This window comes from Homo sapiens, chromosome 19 (genome assembly GCF_000001405.40).
Source record: "Homo sapiens chromosome 19, GRCh38.p14 Primary Assembly".
NCBI classification, from domain to species: Eukaryota; Metazoa; Chordata; class Mammalia; order Primates; family Hominidae; genus Homo; species Homo sapiens.
This window is the reverse complement of record NC_000019.10, coordinates 57,710,269-57,729,075: the sequence shown is the minus strand read 5'-3', so window position 1 is coordinate 57,729,075 and position 18,807 is coordinate 57,710,269. Positions and strand designations below refer to the sequence as shown.

Here is an 18,807-nt window from a genome sequence, read left to right as displayed (position 1 = left end):
GGTGATGCAGGACAAAAATCATTATATGCAGGACATGTCCTGTATGTATAGGAATCTTGGAAATTTTATTAGTGATGTCTTTCATGCTACTAACACATTTGAAAAACACCTACTGAGAGCTCGTATGTGTTCCTTGGATGTGTATTTTAACAGTGAATTATCAAGACAGCACAACTTCACTGTTGATTTTTACCATTCTGATATCTTCTTTACAATTGCTCAGCATTTTCAGGAAAAAAGAGTCACATTTTGTTGACAAAGTGTGGTCAAGATCACAACACAACCATATGCTTAACTTCATTCTTTCACTTATACTTTAGTATTCAGGCTCAAACTTTACTGAGATCTTAACTTTGTCCATCTATCACAGATATTTCCTTAGAGCAATTTCTTTCATTATCTTCAAATAACTACGGAATCATTATTAATAGCTGTCAGGATTTTTCCCCCGGGGATAATCTCACCTCCTAACACAGACACCATACTTACAATGACAATGACAGGTTAAATGGTAATTGCACTGTGTTTTGCTGTGATGGAGACATCACTGATTACCCAGGCAGGAAGAGTTTTCTGAAGAAATCTGTCCACTGGTTTCAGGGAGACTCCACATCATCCCTCTTCCTTCTTCCACTCCAAGGCCTTGTTTGGAATATTTTCTCTTCCGTCTCTGACCAAACTGAAGCTCACAAAAGTTACTGTAAAGCTTGAGTGCACACATATTTAAAAAGCAACAAGGTAATAGTTATTAGCTTCTAGCTGTGAGTGTACGCAAAGAGACATTGTGGTGTGGTGTATCTATTTAGTTTTGCAGCTTTGGGGAACATCTGAAATGTCTCAACATTTCTGCGATCGGTGCATACTACACTCCAGGGAATCTAGGTCCAGGCCTTTTAAGAGGACAGAAGTCAGCCGGGCACCATGGCTCACTCCTGTAATCCCAGCACTTTGGGAGGCCGAAGCAGGCAAATCACAAAGTCAGGAGTTCGAGACCAGCCTGGCCAACATGGTGAAATCCCGTACTCTGCTAAAAGTACTAAAATTAGCCTGGCGTGGTGGCGGGCCCCTGTAGTCCCAATTACTTGGGAGGCTGAGGCAGGAGAATCGCTTGAACCCGGGAGGCGGAGGTTGCAGTCAGCCGAGATCGCGCCACTGCACTGCAGCCTGGGAGACAGAGCGAGACTCTGTCTCAAAAAAAAAAAAAAAAAAAAAAAAGAGGACGGAAGTCCTGTCAGCCCTTTGAAACTCGGGTTACTTTTCCCAAACAACTTGGCCCTCCTACTTCGAGTTTTCCCAAGAGCCCAGGCCGAGAATCCCCTGCCTTGAAGGATAGCTCAGTGGGAACCACACTCTACCCACAAACCTATACGTTGCATACCCAATGAGGGCCCAGGAGAGGGGTGTTTCAGTGCCTGCGGGGGGTGCGTGGGCGGGACTTCCGGCTCCTCCTTGTAGCGGACATTTTGTTTCTGTCAGGCTGTCCCTGGCCGGGGTTCTGTAACGCTTGTGTGGGCCGCAGGTGGAGGTGTTGGGAAAGCGCGGAGGAGATGTTGTCCCCAGTGTCCCGAGACGCGTCTGATGCTCTGCAGGGACGGAAGTGCCTGCGTCCCCGATCGAGACGCCTGCCGCTCCCGGCAGCTGTCCGCGCCCACGGTCCTATGGCGGAGCTAACGGACTCCGCGCGGGTGGGTGCTGCGTCCTCCGGGCCCTCAGTCACCCTTTCTCCGACTCCGAATCGTAAAGTGCCTGCAGCCCCTGTGTCCCAGGACAGCGACGCACTCTTGGGGCGGGGTCCTATCTCGGTGTGGGTGGGTGTGGGAGAGTTACGGGCGGAGGGGACGGCGCAGGTAAAGGCTCGGGGGTGCTGCTGACCCCCAAACATTTGGGAGACAGGGTTCTCATCAACACAGAGCAGAGTTTGAGGAACTGTGACTGGAATGGCAGGCTGAGAAGTTGTCGCTTCATTCTGAGGGCGTTGAGATTAACTGAGGGTTTTGAATAGAAGGACGTGATCTTAGCTGGGATTTTAAGTGTCTCGAAATTTGCTCAGGGGAGAACATTAGTTTGGGGTGGGGACTGCGAGGATGGATACGAGGAGACCGGTAAGGAGGCTACTGCAGTGGATTCCAGGAATGCTTTGGTGGTGGATGTACCAAGAGTAATGGCAGGTGAGTGGGTAGAAGTGATCATATTCTGGGTAGGTTTTAAATTTGAAACCAACAGGATTTTCTGCTCCATCATATGCAGCTATGACTGAAAGTAAGGCATGAAAGAGCAAGGTGTTTTTGTTGTTTTTCCATGAACGTTTGGATTTTGGAATGGTGACTTTGAGATGTCTCAGAGTGGAGGCTTCCTCACTTAGGCAACTAGAGAGGAAGGTCTGAAGTTGTGGGGAAGGGGCTGGGCTTAGAATATCTTTGGGGTGAAGGGAGCGGTCTGGAGTAGGTCAAGGCCAGGAGGTCAGATTTAAGTGGGGCAGTCTTAAGTATGTTATTTCATATCTCTGGGGTAAGAGATGAGAAGGCTGGGACTGCAGGGCAGGGAAGAGGGAGTGGGCATTCTTGAGACTCCCCCCAGAAGAGAAGGGTCCTGCCATTTGAAAGGGTTCTTTTCAGTGTTTGCAGGAGGAGAGAGCTGTAGGGTATGAGGAGTTTGGCCTGGGATGGCAACGATGGGTGGTGTGCTATTGCTACTATCTGATTATCTCACCCTCATTTTGTGTGTTTTCTTTTAGTTTTAGTTTATTTATTTTTTTTATTTTTTTTGAGACGAAGTCTCACTCTGTCGCCCAGGGTGGGATGCAGTGGCTTATTGCAACCTCTACCTCCCGGGTTCAAGAGATTCTCCCGCCTCAGCCTCCCAAGTAGTTGAGATTACAGGTGCCCACAACCACCCCTGGCTAATTTTAGTATTTATAGTAGAGACGGGGGTGGGGAGGTGGGAGGGGTGGGGTGGGGTGGGGAGGTGGGAGGGGTGGGGTGGGGGCGGGGGAGTGGGGGGGACGTTCACCGTGTTGGCCCAGGTGGTCTTGAACTCCCGACCTCAACTGATCCACCGGCCCCAGCCTTCCAAAGTGTTTGGATTACAGTTGTGAGCCACTGCACTTGGCTTTGGTTTTATTTTATTTATTTATTTTTTTTTTGGAGACGAGTCTCGCTCTGTCACCCAGGCTGGAGTGCAATGGTGCGATCTTGGCTCACTGCAGCTTCTGCCTCCCAGATTCAAGTGATTCTCCTGCCTCAGTTTTCCCAGTAGCTGGGATTACAGGCATGCATCACCATGCCCAGCTAATTTTTGTATTTTATTAGATAGAGTTTCACCATGTTGGCCAGGCTGGTCTCAAACTCGTGACCTCAGTTGATCCACTCCCTTCGGCCTCCCAAAGTGCTGGGATTACAAGAGTGAGCCACCATGCCTTGGCCAGGTTTTGTTTTGTTTTGTTTTTTTGAGATGGAGTCTTGCTCTTGTCACCCAGGCTGGAGTGCAGTGGCGCGATCTCGGCTCACTGCAACCTGTCTCCTGGGTTCAAGCAGTTCTCCTACCTCAGCCTCCCGAGTAGCTGGGATTACAGGTGCCCACCACCACACCCCGCTAATTTTTCCATTTTTAGTAGAGACGGGGTTTCACCACGTTTCCTAGGCTGGAGTGCAGTGGCACAATCTCGGCTCACCGCAACCTCTGCCTTCTGGGTTCAAGCAATTCTCTTGTCTGCCTCCTGAGTAGCTGGAATTACAGGCACCCGCCACCACGCCCAGCTAATTTGTTTGTATTTTTGGTAGAGACGGGGTTTCACGATGTTGGCCAGGCTGGTCTCGAACTCCTGCCCTCAGGAGATCCACCCGCCTCGGCCTCCCAAAGTGCTGGGATTACAGGTGTGAGTCATCATGCTTGGCTGAGACCCCATTTCAAAAAAAAAAAAAAGTTCACTACTTCTCCCAGTCTTGCCTAGTGTAGTAGAAGGATCTCACGAATCCATCTGGCCAAAGATTTAAGGTGCTTCTCTAATCTTTGTGTTTGTCCAGAATGCTGTCTCTGTTTTTGGTAACTCTCTGGAACTTAGGATGTACTACATTCTGTCATTATCCTAAGGCCAGAAGGTAGGAACCAGACTCTTTTGATGTAGCTGGAATGTGTTGAGGGTGTTGAATGTGTTCCAGTTTCTTCCGTTTTCATGATGCAGCTGAGCATGGGTATTTATCTCCTGCTGCCTGCATTAAGTTAGTTAGAGATCTGTGTCAAATGCCTAAAGTCGGCCAGGCGCAGTGGCTCACACCTGTAATCCCAGCACTTTGGGAGGCCGAGGCGGGTGGATCACGAGGTCAGGAGATCAAGACCATCCTGGCTAACATGGTGAAACCTTGTCTCTACTGAAAATACAAAAAATTAGCCGGGCATGGTGGTGGGCGCCTGTAGTCCCGGCTACTCGGGAGGCTGAGGCAGGAGAATGGTGTGAACCTGGGAGATGGAGCTTGCAGTGAGCCAAGATCGTGCCACTGCACTCCAGCCTGGGCAACAGTGCAAGAATCTGTCTAAAAAAAAAAAAAAAAATTGTTATGTGTCTTCTGACTGCCTCACTGACCAGCTGATCCCCATCCTTCTCCCTCTCTTTAAGCGTTCCTATTCCCTGACACACAGCAATATTGAAATCAGGTCAGTTAATAACCCTACAGTGGCCTCTAAGAGTTCAAGTTAAAGGAGTAGTTACACATCTCTCACTTTAAATCAGGGGTGTCCAATCTTTTGGCTTCCCTGGGCCTCCAGCACTAGGGGTTGCATTTCAACATGAGATTTGTAGGGGATACACATCCAATCCATATCAAACAGTGGTACAATGTGCAACAAAGAAATGGAAGAGGGTTGAGGATACCTGAGATCTGCATGTGGTTTGAGGTGCCTGTGATTGAAAAAAGGAACAGGGCCAGATTGGGAGGCTTTCAGAGCAACAATAGGGCTTTCCTTGGCAATGGGGCCATTGATGGTTTGGAGCAAGATGGGATACTGATTGTTGGCAAGCACTTTTTTTTTTTTTTTTTGAGATGGAGTCTCACTCTGTCGCCAGACTGGAGTGTAGTAGCATGATCTCAGCTCACTGCAACCTCTGCCTCCCAGGTTCAAGCAGTTCTCCTTCCTCAGCCTCCCAAGTAGCTGGGACTACAGGCACACACCACCATGCCCAGCTAATTTTTGTATTTTTTTTTTTTTTTTTTTTAGTAGAGACGGGGTTTCACCATGTTGGCCAGGATAGTCTCGCTCTCTTGACCTCGTGATCTGCCTTCGGCAAGCACTCTTAATGCTATGTGTAGAGTGACATTTGGGGAGTCCAGGGAGATGGGGTGGGCCAGTAGGGTGGGGGGGAAGCTGGAGATGTGAGGGAGACATAGTCCAGAGTGATGTGTATGAGAGGAGGGAGTGTGAGCTGACGGTCCTGTGACTTGGGGCTTAACTGAGAAAAATGAGCCTAGGTTCATACCTGGGATTTGTGATCTTGGGTACCCCAGGGGAGTTGGCTGGCTCAGAGTGTAAATGGCATTTATCTGTCAGCCTGTCTGTTGTTGTGGTGGGCTGACACAGTGATTGCTGGGGTGATCAGGAGAGAGTGAGGATCAGTGGTACTAGTGCCTGGTATCTCTGACTTGGGAACCTGGGAGGTTAGTTAGCAGGATGTTGTGGGTAGGTAGACTGGGGATCATTGGTCAAGAGACTTTTTATGGTCCTTCCTGTCCCTTTTGTTGCAGGGCTGTGTGGTCTTTGAGGATGTGTTTGTATACTTCTCTCGGGAAGAATGGGAGCTTCTTGATGATGCTCAGAGACTTTTGTACCATGATGTGATGCTGGAGAACTTTGCACTTTTAGCCTCACTGGGTAAGGTCCTCATGCTTTTCTGCCTTTACCACTCTGTTCTTCCTATGGTGGGATCATGAGCACCGCTTCCTTCACCAGTTTCCTGGAGTAGGTGCTCAAGATGCCAGGGCTAAGCTGTATGGAGTGTCCTCCCTACTTGCTGAGTAGTCCTGAAGCCGTGCAGCCAAGGGTTTGGGGTCATGAGACTTGTGGTTTGCCCAGTGGATCTCACTAGGTCTGTTCGCTTTCTGTACTGGTGACTCTGTCCAAAATTATGATGCCTCTGTGCCCAAGGTTCTGTCCCTTTCTCCAGGTGACATTTTCTTTTCTTTTTTTTTTTGAGTCAGGGTCTGGCTCTGTTGCCCAAGCTGGAGTGCAGTGGCATGATCTCAGCTCATTGCAACCTCTACCTCCCAGGCTCAAGCCATCCTCTCATCTCAGCCTCCTGAATAGTTGGGACTACAGACACACACCACCACGCCCAGCTAATTTTTCTGTAGAGATGTGGTTTTGCCATGTTGCCCAGGCTGGTCTTGAACTCCTGAGCTCAAGTAATACCCTGACTTGACTTCTGAAAGTGTTAGATTACAGGTGTGAGCCACTGCGCCCAGCTCAGGTGACATCTTCTAGGGCCTGACCTTGTCAGGAGTTATAGGCACTTACATAGTCACTTATAGGGACCTTTGGGTTATTCCTGCACAACTCCTCCCAGGTTATTTTTCTTACCTGAAGTCCATCATAGGGTGGTTTGCCATGGGCCAGTGCTGGCTGCTCACCTGTTCTGACTTTCCCTTAGGAATTGCATTTTCCAGATCACGTGCAGTCATGAAACTAGAGCGAGGAGAAGAGCCCTGGGTGTATGACCAGGTGGATATGACTTCAGCCACAGAAAGAGAGGCCCAGAGGGGACTTAGACCTGGTGAGTGGACATCGGGGAAGGGCACGATGTCAAAGCTGGGTTCAAAACTGGCAACATTAACTGTTCACATCAGTGTTTGTTTCCAGGGCCAGTGGCCACACAGCGTTTCTATCTGTCCTTTCCTGTTCTTGACACGAAGATATATCATTTCTAGTTTGTTAGCCCCTTGCCACCCTCACCTCTGGCCTTCACCTTACACCCATGTTTCACCACTTCTCTGTCTACATTTTTTGGCAGTATTGACCTGCAATTAATGTTCACAAGATGTGCATATATTCTTAAATAGTCTTTGAACACCAGCTGCTCACTTGTAGTTGGATTTTCCTGGGACTGGATACATTTTTCATAGCACTCACGAGTCACTAACAGTCAAGGCCCTACTGGAAGCCATTTGTTTGGTTCCATTCTTATATCCTGGCCCTTCATTGGCACTCCCCCATGGTATGACCTCCAGAGGCTCACTACCTCAAAGCCATTCCTTCCTCACTCTGACCATGCCTCTCATTCTGAAAACAGTTTCATGAACTTATTCCTGCATGTGTCAAATGCACATATACAATGAGGTTGCCCCTTCCCACCCGTAAATATGCATTTAATCAGCATTTGTGTGTTCTTCAGGTTGTTGGCATGGAGTGGAGGATGAAGAGGTATCTTCTGAGCAGAGCATTTTTGTAGCAGGAGTGTCAGAGGTCAGGACTCTCATGGCAGAGCTGGAGTCTCACCCATGTGACATATGTGGCCCAATATTGAAAGATACCTTACACCTGGCTAAATACCATGGGGGAAAAGCCAGGCAGAAACCATACTTGTGTGGGGCATGTGGAAAGCAATTCTGGTTCAGTACAGACTTTGACCAGCACCAGAACCAGCCCAATGGAGGGAAACTTTTCCCAAGGAAGGAGGGCAGAGACTCTGTGAAAAGCTGCAGAGTCCATGTGCCAGAGAAGACCCTCACATGTGGGAAAGGTAGGAGAGACTTTTCAGCCACATCTGGCCTTCTTCAGCATCAGGCCTCTCTCAGCAGCATGAAGCCCCACAAGAGCACTAAGCTTGTGAGTGGCTTTCTCATGGGACAGAGGTATCACAGGTGTGGTGAATGTGGGAAAGCCTTCACCCGCAAAGACACACTTGCTCGGCATCAGAGAATCCACACTGGAGAAAGGCCTTATGAGTGTAACGAATGTGGGAAATTCTTCAGCCAAAGCTATGACCTCTTTAAACACCAGACAGTTCACACTGGAGAAAGGCCATACGAGTGCAGCGAATGTGGGAAATTCTTTAGACAAATCTCCGGCCTGATTGAGCACAGGCGAGTTCACACGGGTGAAAGACTCTATCAGTGTGGCAAATGTGGGAAATTTTTTAGCAGTAAGTCTAATCTCATTCGACACCAGGAAGTTCACACAGGAGCCAGGCCTTATGTATGCAGCGAATGTGGGAAAGAGTTCAGTCGGAAACACACACTTGTTCTGCACCAACGAACTCACACTGGAGAAAGGCCTTATGAGTGCAGTGAATGTGGGAAGGCCTTTAGCCAAAGCTCCCACCTTAATGTACACTGGAGAATTCACAGCAGTGATTATGAGTGTAGCAGATGTGGTAAAGCTTTCAGCTGCATCTCCAAACTCATTCAGCACCAGAAAGTTCACTCTGGAGAAAAGCCTTATGAGTGCAGCAAGTGCGGGAAAGCCTTCACTCAAAGACCCAACCTCATCAGGCACTGGAAAGTCCACACTGGGGAAAGGCCTTATGTGTGTAGTGAGTGCGGGAGAGAATTCATCCGGAAACAGACACTTGTTCTGCACCAGAGGGTTCATGCTGGAGAAAAGCTTTAAGAGTGTAGCAAATGTGGGGGAAAGTCTTAGGCCAATGCCCCTGACTTACTATATGGTGGGGAACTAGCAGTAGTTAATGAGTGCAGCAGATGCAGGAAAGCCTTCCCCTGGAGGCTGAACCTTACCCGCCATTGGGAATTTCACACCGGACACAGGCCTTAGCAGTCTAAGCAATGTGCTGTCTCTGTTCAGCCCAACAGCTCACCCTAGAGTGGAACTCTGGGAGCAGCCATTGGGAGGGAACCATCAGTAAGAAGTGAAACTTCATAGATATGGACATTCCCACTGGGGAGATTCCCTGTGAGTGTCAAGTATGTGAGATGCTTTCAGCAGCTGTGTTGCACTTTTTAAATGGCTATTGGCCTTTGCTGGGGCAGGAGCCATCTGCTCCTACCATCTGGCAGAATCATACTGCGTTTACCATTTACCCCAGCATGCTTGTGACGGGCAGACCTCTCTTCTCTCCCCAGTCCCTAAAAGGTGTTGTGAGTGGTCTCACAGCCCACTAGGGGTCTTAATTTCCTCTCTTTTGATGTAAATGGCATGGAAATAATCAGCTTTGTTCAAGAGGACACAGAAGGATTCTGCAAATAGCCTGCAGAGACTTACCTGTGTTGATTGATTTCATATGATGCTCGTTATGGATATATCCAATATCCAAGTCACCCAGCTCTGGAACTGCCTGCTTCACATTGCTCATGATAATAAAGGCCTGTTCTTTAAGCCACCATTAATGTTGTGGGTTCTGTTTATTGTTTGGAGTCTATTGAGGAAACAGGTGTGTTCTCAGCATGAACAAGTTAACAGCTTTTGTGGGAGTCCTTGTTTTCTGTCCCTTAGAGCAAATGGCAGAGAACAGCTCTGATTACAGCTTTGACCTAATTTGTGTTGCTGTTCAAGCCCTTCTAAGACAGACTGCAGGGCTTTGGGAGACAAATCATGTGACCTGGATGCCAGTTTTACTGTAGGTTTGGAGGTAACCATGAAGAGAGATCAGTTGTAACAACTTCTAGAGCACCTGGGAGCATGAGTTTGGTCACTGGTTCCCATCCAGTGTTCCATATTTCCAAGCACTTATTGGGAAGCTGGCCCCTGCTTCTTGTCAAGGAGTCTGTGTTCAGAATTTAATAGGCAGGTGTCCTTGTCTGGAGGACCTCTAGGAGCCAGGTGGTAATTATAATTGGTATAGAAACACTGGGTATGACTAATAGGGAGTTGAGGAGATTGCGGCACACTACAAGGGATGTGCCACTTCTTTTTTTTGAGATGGAGTTTCATTCTTGTTGCCTAGGCTGGAGTGCAATGGCGTGATCTTGGCTCACTGCAACCTCCACCTACTGGGTTCAAGTGACTGTCCTGCCTCAGCCTCCTGAGTAGCTGGGATTATAGGCATGCATCACCTATGCCCGGCTAATTTTGTATTTTTTTTTTTTTTTTTGAGACGGAGTCTGGCTCTGTTGCCCAGGCAGGAGTGCAGTGGTGCAATCTTGGCTCACTGCAAGCTCCACCTCCCAGGTTCTTGCCATTCTCCTGCCTCCACCTCCCGAGTAGCTGGGACTAAAGGTGCCCGCCACCACACCCGGCTAATTCTTTTGTATTTTTTAGTAGAGACGGAGTTTCACCATGTTAGCCAGGATGGTCTCGATCTCCTGACCTCGTGATCCGCCCGCCTTGGCCTCCCAAAGTGCTGGGATTACGGGCGTGAGCCACTGCGCCCAGCCCTAATTTTGTATTTTTAGTAGAGACAGGGTTTCTCCATGTTGGTCAGGCTGGTCTCAAACTCCCGACCTCAGGTGATCCGCCTGCCTCGGCCTCCCGAGTCCTGGGATTACAGGCGTGAGCCACGCACCTGGCCTGGGATGTGCCACTTCTAAAGGTACATGCTCAGATGTTCCCATACTATGGCTATATAGGATGAGAGTATACAGAAAGTTTCAGAACTTCCACAGCTATGTCTCTTTTGTGGTCAGCATCACTCCCAGGGCAAATCTAAACATTTTGTGGATTCCCATAGACTCTAGATGGCTCAACTCAAGACCACTGCTGGGGCTGGGTGCAGTGGCTCACGCCTGTAATCCCAGCACTTTAGGAGGCTGAGGCGGGCGGATCACGAGGTCAGGATATTGAAACCATCCCGGCTAACACGGTGAAGCCCCGTCTCTACTAAAAATACAAAAAATTAGCCAGGCGTGGTGGTGGGCATCTGTAGTCCCAGCTACTTGGGAGGCTGAGGCAGGAGAATGGCATGAACCCAGGAGGCGGAGCTTGCAGTGAGCCGAGATCGCACCACTGCACTCCAGCCTGGGTGACAGAACGAGACTCTGTCTCAAAAAAAAAAAAAAAAGAAAAAAAAAAAGACCATTGCTGGGTGTGTAAGTGGGTAGGAAAACCAAGATTGAAAGAAGGAAGATCTAGCATTTCAGGGACATGGCTTTGCAACTTAGCCAGTGTTCCTGGTGAATCATGTGGAAATAGCTTTCTTGGTTGCCACTTTTTGCTGTCACTGAGGCAGGGCTGCTCCTGAAGCAAGAGGCAAGAGAGGATAGAGTCTATATAGGGTTGCCTATAGGATTTGTCTGTGTTTTCCCAGTTTTCTTTTTTGTTTTGAGACAGGGTCTCTCTCTGTCAACCCAGGATAGAATGCAGTGGCACTATGATAGCTTACTGTAACCTTGAACTCTTGGGCTCAAGTAATCCTCAGCCTCCTAAGTAGCTGCGATTACAGGCATGTGCCATCACACCTGGCTAACTTTTTTGTTTGTTTTTGTTTTTGGAGATGGAGTCTCACTGTATTGCTCAAGCTGGTCTTGAACTCCTGGCTTCAAGTGATCCCAAAGCACTGGGATTACAGGCATGAGCCAGCATGCCTGGCTGGTTTTCCTAATTTCTTAAAATGAACTGTCATTTATTTGTGAACTCTCTTCTTGTATAATAATATAGGCTATAAATTTCCCTGTAAGTACTGCTTTAGCAGTATCCCCCAAATTTTGATATAGTGTGCACTTGTTTTGTGTGAGATGGAATTAGTTTAAAATTGGACTGGAAAAGCTCTAGTTTTGTCTGTAGGGACTTTAGGTATCTCATTTTGACATTTAAATGCAGTGAGCTTTATTATTATTGTTTAACATCTGGAAGATCCCATGACAATATGGAGGGCAAGTTTGACTGCTGATGGTTTCTGGTTGGCATACATGATTAGGTAGGCACTCTGGCTCAACTGTGTTACCCCAGAAGGGTATAAAATCCCTGCTGGGATCCTCTGACTTGAGCTCTCCTGAAGCCAGCATTTCTCTCTCAGATATTGGTGGCTTGATCTGGAAGTGAATCATATCAGTGTATGAATGGGAGTCTGGAAAACTGCCTGGATTTGTGTCTGACATAGCATATGGGCACGCATTCTTTCTCTTGCTGCACCATATCCTTTGCCTTAACAAAACCTCACGCGAGTATTCTCTGTGGAGTTTTGTGAGTATTTTCAATTACATTTTTGAAATTTTTTCATTTGGTGATGAAAATGGGATATTTGCTATGATCTCTGAGTCCATTTTAAATAATAATGGCTAAGGAGTTATTGGGCAGAATGAAATATGGTAGAGGCTGGTGAGGAAGATTTTTTGTGAATAGGTTGGCTTCCAGTCCTTGGATTGAGATTGCACAAGTTATGTGATTCACTCACAAACAGGAGGAAGAATATAAGTAGGACCTGGAGTCTGTGGGTCGGAGGGGATAACTAAATGTCCTGCAAAACACCCAAACACCTCCCATTAGGCCCACCTCCAACACTGGAGGTCACATTTCAACATGAGATTTGGAAGGGACACACATCTAAACTATACCAGCTGTAGATTCTAGCCTGTAGTTAAGTACACTACCATACCTTTTCCTAACTCCATCCTGCAGACCCAGCTAATTGATGTCATGGTAAAAGGGGAGGCAACATGATATGAGGCTTGATGTTATGGACCTCCTTATTGAGCTGTCTTGAATAAGACTTAATACTGGAGGGGGAGGGAAAAGTAAGAATCATTCAGAAGAAAAGTAACTAAAAATAAAAGAGATGAGATAGCCTGGCGCGGTGGCTCATGCCTGTAATCCCAGCACTTTGGGAGGGTGAGGTGGGCAGATCACCTGAGGTCAGGAGTTGGAGACCAGCCTGACCAACATGGTAAAACCCCATCTCTACTAAAAATACAAAAAAATTAGCCGAGCATTGTGGCGCGTGCCTGTAATCCTAGCTACTCAGGAGGCTGAGGCAGGAGAATTGCTTGAACCTAGGAGGCAGAGGTTGCGATGAGCCGAGATTGCACCATTGCATTCCAGCCTGGGCAACAAGAGTGAAATTCCATCTCAAAATAAATAAATAAATACATACATAAATAAATAAAAAGAGATGGAAGAAACCTCAGGAAAACAGAATTGGATAAAAATGTTTAGATGGTTGATCAAAAATGACCTTAAACAAGAAAGGAAGATGGAGTAGTTACTAAAAATATTGAATCCCTGTAAAAATAACTGGTCTACTGAAAGATCTGGAACTAATTAATTCACCCTAGTCTTGATAATTTTTCAAAATGTCAAAATTATAAAAAGGTGACAAGTATAATCTCTTCAGAGCCTGCTCTGATTATAACCAGGGAGAGAAATGGGGAGTATTATGACTGAATGATGATGTCAATTGAAGAAAATGACAAGACAAGTCTCAATCATTTTGGAGACTTATTTGCCAAAGTTAACGACCCACCCGGGAGACAAGTCTATGCTTTTCTCTGAAGATGATTTTTAGGGCTCCAAATTTAAAGAGGAAAGGGTGGGATATTGAGAAGCACACAGTTTTCACATTAAAAAAGGGGGCAAAAGAAAGATGTGGGGAATCTGCATTTTACATAAGATAACACAGAGGAAATGGGGTAGGCATTTTGTGTCTGACAGGCTGGGGTGACCGCACCTGTAAAGATAAACTATCAGTTTGCATTTCCATGGTGAAGTTTTTTGTTTGTTTCTTTTTTTTTTTTTTTTTGTTTTTAGATGGAGTTTCACTTCTGTCGCCCAGGCTGGAGTGCGGTGGCATGATCTCGGCTCACTGTAACCTCTGTCCCTTGGGTTCAAGTGATTCTCCTGTCTCAGCCTCCCGAGTAGCTGGGATTATAGGCACCTGCCACCACACCTGGCTAATTTTTGTATTTTTTTTTTTTTTTTTTTTTTTTTAGTAGAGATGGGGTTTCACCATCTTGGCCAGGCTGGTCTTGAACTCCTGACCTCGTGATCCAGCCGCCTTGGCCTCCCAAAGTGTTGGGCTTACAGGCGTGAGCCACCACGCCTGGCCACCATGGTGAAGTTTTAACAGCTCACCAGTAATTTCCTTGTGGGTAAAATATGGGGAAAGTGGGTAGCTTTTCATCTTGCAGCCATTTTATTTAGGAACCAAAAGGTAGAGGCAAGTTTGCATGACCCAGTTCCCAGCTTGACTTTTCCCCTTGGCTAAATGGGTTTGGGGTCCCAAAATTTAATTTCCTTTGACAATGGATCTCATGACCTTGTTAGGGTCTCATGACCTCTAGCTGGGACTTCAAGTTCACTTTCATTGGAATGAAGTAAATGGTCTGCAGGCAGTGAGAAAACTTTACTACAATTGATGATCGATGTCGCTATAACTTAGTTAGCTAATGTAAACTTAAAAGGAAATACAATTACACGAACATAGTGATACAGCTAGAGAAGGCTTGCAGCTGGAGAAATATGGTCTATAGAGGCATTTATGGACAGAAATTATGTATGATTTTTGCTTCACCATTACCACAAGGCATTATTGGAATTGATAGGATGCCATGTAAATCTGCTTTTAGTCCTGTGTTAATTGAGCATGCTAGATGGAATCTTTAGAATCAGCTAAGCTCACTCAAGTGATTATAACACCATAGAATTCCTGGGGGAAATAAATGTTGACTTGAATTAAGGATCTTTTAGATGCAGGTATATTACTAAAATTCCCTATTTAGTAGTCTAGGATGGGCTGGGTGCGGTGGCTCACACCTCTAATCCCAACACTTTGGGAGGCCAGGGCAGGAGGATTACTTGAGCCCAGCAGTTTGAGACCAGCTTGGGCAACATAGTGAGACCTCCTCTCTACAAAAAATTTGAAAACGTATTAGCTGAGTGTGGTGGAACATGCTTGTAGTCTTAACTATTCAGGAGGCTGAGGGGAGGATCACTCAAGGCCAGGAGTTTGAGGATGCAGTGAGCCATGTTTGCACCACTGCACTCCAGCCTCGGTCTAGGATGGCCTGGAAGAAAAGCTGATGGATCTGGTAAATTAACTATAGATTACGGAAGACTTGATAAATTGATGTCACCCCATTTGATCAGCTATATCTGATATGGCATCAACAACTAAAGCTGTGCTGCAAGCTCAGAGAGATCAGTATTCTGTACTAGATTTGGCTCATGCCTTCTTTTCCATTAGGAAGCCAAAGCCAATTTTCATTCATTAGGGATAGTCCCCAATATGCATTTACTCTGCCCTCAGAAGAACATTTAAATTCTCTGGATGGGCTGAACATGGTGGCTTATACCTGTAATCCCAGCACTTTGGGAGGCTGAGGCTGGTGGATCACTTGAAGTCAGGAGTTCGAGACCAGCCTGGACATCATGGTGAAACCCCGTCTCTACTAAAAAAAAATACAAATATTAGCCAGACATGGTGGTGGGTGCCTGTAATCCCAGCTACTCAAGGTGGAGGCAAGAGAATCACTTGAACGCAGGAGGCAGAGGTTGCAGTGAGTTGAGATCGTGCCACTGTACTCCAGCCTGGGTGACAAAACGAGAGTCAAATAAATAAATAAAAATAAATTCTCTGGATGATACTTGGCCCTGGATTTAAACCCTTTTGTAGGACAATATGTGGTATATGAGCTGCTACTTGGGAGGCTGAGGTGGGAGGATCAGTTGATCCCAGGAGCTCGAGGCTGCAGTGAACCATGATGGTGCCACTACACTCCAGCCTAGGTGACAGTGAGAACCTATGTCTAAAAAACATATATATTTGGTATACGGGCAAGAACCCCAATTTGAAGGAAAGGTGGAGAATATACTGTAATTTTGACTTATTTTGTAATGATCATGATCAGACTCATAATGTTATCTGCTATTTGGTGTAATACTGGTATATCTGGTAAAATTAATTTGATGTGTTCTGATATGGTTTGGATGTAAGTTCCTTGCAAATCTCATGTTGAAATGTGACCTTCAACGTTGGAGGTGGGCCTAGTCAGAGGTCTTTGGGTCATGGGGGTGGATCCCTCATGAATGGGTTGGTGCTGTCCTCATGGTAGTGAGTGAGTTCTCACTGAGTTCATGCAAGATCTGGTTGTTTAGAAAAGCCTGGCCCCTCCTGCCTACCTCTCTTGCTCCCTCCCTCACCATGTGACACGCTGGCTCTCCTTCACTTTTTGCCAAAATTGTAAGCTTCCTGAGGCCCTCACCAAAAGCAGATACTGGCACTTTCCTTCATGTACTGTCTGCAGAACTGTGAGCCAAATACATCTCCCTCTTTTTTTTTTTTAAATAAATTACCCAATCTCAGATATTCCTTTATGGCATCACAAATTGACTAACACATTTCAAACAAAGCTTATGATAAGACTGATACAGATTATAAAATGAAGTGAGAAATTGAATTAAAACAACCACAAGATGTTCTATCCGTGGAAAATATTGGCTAGGAGAGGAACTAGAATTAACTTTGAATTGAATGGGTCTATTGATACTGTTATTAAAGTTGATGATGGAAGGAGGTAAAATAGTAGCCAATCTTGTGCATGATTATGAACCTTTGTGCTGGGCTATTTCATTTTCTGAAATATTTTGAAGCAATACCCACTTCTCAAATAATGCACACAAAGTATTTTGACAGCTGCCCTTTTTGCTTGTTCTGTTCTATAAATAGTGAAAATGATGTAGGGTAATATTAAGAAGGAGTGATTTGTAATTAAAAATACCCAGCCAACAAAGGGATGACTGTGGAGAACAGATAACACTTTATAGCTGGAATAGGACAATTTTATGCTTATCTCTGGGGACATCTGGATACCTAGTTTGACTTTTAGCAAAGAAAGGCAGTGGGAGTTACAATGTGCTGCTTAAACTCTGAAATTTTTTCGTGTCTTTACAGCTGGCTTTTACCTGGCATAAATGGCTAGGTTGGCTTGGGTCATGCAGCCAGAGGGACATAAAAGTCCCTATTGGAAATTTCTGTTATTAATTCTTCTGAAATCAAGCTCCATCCCATATATATTAGTGGCACAGTCCAGAGATGAAGCATGTCCACTTGTGAATAAGAATCCTGAGGGTCATGGGTCCAGATCTTTCTGAGCCCTGATGCCTGTTCTGTCTTTCTCTAGCTGTACTGTATGCTTTATATTTAAATAAAAGCCTTATGAGAGAGTGCTTTCAGTCCCATGAGTCATTTCAAATATCTGAATTTTTCAAGTCTTTGCAGATGTAAATATAGATGTAGAAATAAATTTGTATAGAAATGTGTGCAAGTGGCCGGGCACGGTGGCTCACGCCTGTAATCCCAGCACTTTGGGAAGCCGAGGCGGGCGGATCACGAGGTCAGGAGATCGAGACCATCCTGGCTAACACGGTGAAACTCTGTCTCTACTAAAAATATACAAAAAATTAGCCGGGCGTGGTGGCAGGCGCCCGTAGTCCCAGCTACTCAGGAGCCTGAGGCAGGAGAATGGCGTGAACCTCGGAGGCTGAGCTTGCAGTGAGCCGAGATCGTGCCACTGCACTCCAGCCTGGGCGACAGAGCAAGACTCTGTCTCAAAAAAAAAAAAAAAAATGTGTGCGTGCATGTGTATGTATCTGCTTTCTCTCCAAGAGGACCTAATAATCAATGATTTACCAGTAGAAAAGAGCACAGCTAATGCTTACTAATATTTACAAGCATTGTTATCTATTGAAGAAAACCAGAGCTCCTTGAAAAAGAGGCTGATTCTGGGGCTGGGATAGCAAGGGTACAACATGAGCCTGAAAATATTTTTGGATTAGAAAGTAATGAAATTATCAATAATATTGACATAAAAAAGCAGAGAGCACAGCTTTAATGAGTTCCCACTGTCCAAACATCTGGGAGAATCTGAACATTAAAATAAATGTTGGGGCCGGACGCAGTGGCTCACGCCTGTAATTCCAGCACCTCGAGAGGCCGAGGTGGGTGGATCATGAGGTCAGGAGTTCAAGACTAGCCTGGCCAAGATGGTGAAACCCTGTCTCTACTAAAAATACAAAAAATTAGCTAGGCATGGTGGTGGGCAACTGTAGTCCCAGCTACTCGGGAGGCTGAGGCAGGAGAATGGCGTGAACCTGGGAGGCGGAGCTTGCAGTGAGCCGAGATCGCGCCACTGCACTCCAACCTGGGTGACAGAGCAAGATTCCATCTCAAAAAAAAAAAAAAAAAAAAAAGTACATTACCTTGCTGAGAATTAAAAAGAAAATTTTATATTCGAGTGCTATTTATTTTGCGGCTCCAAAACTTTATAACAAAGCAGCAGAGATTTCTCGGCCAGGCTCGGTGGCTCATGCCTGTAATCCCAGCACTTTGGGAAGCCGAGATGCGTGGATCACCTGAGGTCAGTGGTTCGAGACCAGCCTGGCCAACATGGTGAAACCCCGTCTCTTCTAAAAATACAAAAATTAGCTGGGTGTCATGGCGTGCGCCTGTAGTCCCAGCTACTTGGGAGGCTGAGGCAAGATAATCGCTTGAACCCAGGAGGTGGAGAGGTTGCAGTGAAACAAGACTGCGTCATTGCACTCCAGCCTGGGCAATAAGAGTGAAACTCCATCTCAAAAAAAAAGAAAAAAAAAAAAGAAGAGATTTCTCACCTATATACCCTGAGTGTCTCTGCAGCCAGCAAAGCAGATGAAGGCCTGCTGGGTTGGAGCCCTAGGCCCTCCAATGCTGAAATGCCCTGTGAAGTCTCCATCCATCCAGGCACTCTAGTAACCTGCTTCTTCTGCCTGGAATTTATTCTAAAAATACCCACATGGCTCATTTCTCACTTCCTTCAAGTGCATTTCACCGGCTTTCTGATTAAGAAGTCCCACCTCTCCCCTTTGTCTCTTATCAAAGTAGCATTTCTTTCATTGTTTTTTGAGATTGATGTTAGACTTCTAGAAGGAATATATCTCAGATATCAAGTAAGAATTATG

General features: G+C 46.1%; 1 protein-coding gene and 1 long non-coding RNA gene across 5 annotated transcripts, besides 4 other annotated features; one reads left to right on the top strand and one right to left on the bottom strand.

Annotated features, from left to right (window-relative positions):
• Positions 1,074 to 1,299: a silencer, noted in NCBI's record as "fragment chr19:58239145-58239370 (GRCh37/hg19 assembly coordinates)". NCBI's record gives its function as "represses an EF-1alpha promoter that drives an FKBP-Casp9 reporter gene in an ReSE screen in K562 erythroleukemia cells {active_cell/tissue: K562}" and the evidence as "EXISTENCE:reporter gene assay evidence [ECO:0000049][PMID:32094911]".
• Positions 1,106 to 1,155: an enhancer, noted in NCBI's record as "active region_15156". NCBI's record gives its function as "activates an Ori minimal core promoter by ATAC-STARR-seq in GM12878 lymphoblastoid cells {active_cell/tissue: GM12878}" and the evidence as "EXISTENCE:reporter gene assay evidence [ECO:0000049][PMID:35858748]".
• Positions 1,253 to 1,753: an enhancer, noted in NCBI's record as "H3K27ac hESC enhancer chr19:58238691-58239191 (GRCh37/hg19 assembly coordinates)". NCBI's record gives its function as "activates a minimal SCP1, AML or CMV promoter by ChIP-STARR-seq in naive H9 embryonic stem cells {active_cell/tissue: H9 hESC(naive)}" and the evidence as "EXISTENCE:reporter gene assay evidence [ECO:0000049][PMID:30033119]".
• Positions 1,296 to 1,735: an enhancer, noted in NCBI's record as "active region_15155". NCBI's record gives its function as "activates an Ori minimal core promoter by ATAC-STARR-seq in GM12878 lymphoblastoid cells {active_cell/tissue: GM12878}" and the evidence as "EXISTENCE:reporter gene assay evidence [ECO:0000049][PMID:35858748]".
• On the top strand, positions 1,452 to 9,325 carry ZNF671 (zinc finger protein 671). 4 transcript variants are annotated; one of them, NM_001321376.2, is made up of 5 exons: positions 1,452 to 1,685; positions 4,613 to 4,650; positions 5,736 to 5,862; positions 6,638 to 6,760; positions 7,379 to 9,325. In NM_001321376.2, exons 3-5 carry the CDS (start codon positions 5,829 to 5,831, stop codon positions 8,593 to 8,595), a joined length of 1,374 nt encoding a protein of 457 aa, NP_001308305.1. In that variant the 5' UTR covers positions 1,452 to 1,685; positions 4,613 to 4,650; positions 5,736 to 5,828; the 3' UTR covers positions 8,596 to 9,325. The 4 variants fall into 4 exon arrangements, with proteins under 4 accessions (NP_001308305.1, NP_079109.2, NP_001308304.1 ...); NM_024833.3 differs by lacking the exon at positions 4,613 to 4,650; XM_017027314.2 differs by lacking the exons at positions 1,452 to 1,685; positions 4,613 to 4,650 and adding an exon at positions 1,729 to 2,168.
• A 2,353-nt stretch (positions 9,326 to 11,678) lies between these two features.
• On the bottom strand, positions 11,679 to 15,208 carry LOC124904783 (uncharacterized). Its single transcript, XR_007067359.1, has 2 exons — positions 15,165 to 15,208; positions 11,679 to 11,909 (listed from the first exon to the last, which is right to left on the bottom strand). It is a non-coding gene; the product is annotated as an uncharacterized LOC124904783 (long non-coding RNA).

Coding starts and splice junctions, on each gene's coding strand:
- ZNF671 (NM_024833.3), top strand. CDS start 1,548: ATGTTGTCCCCAGTGTCCCGAGACGCGTCTGATGCTCTGCAGGGACGG. Junction 5,863..6,637: donor TGCACTTTTAGCCTCACTGG/GTAAGGTCCTCA, acceptor ACTTTCCCTTAG/GAATTGCATTTTCCAGATCA. Junction 6,761..7,378: donor CCAGAGGGGACTTAGACCTG/GTGAGTGGACAT, acceptor TGTGTTCTTCAG/GTTGTTGGCATGGAGTGGAG.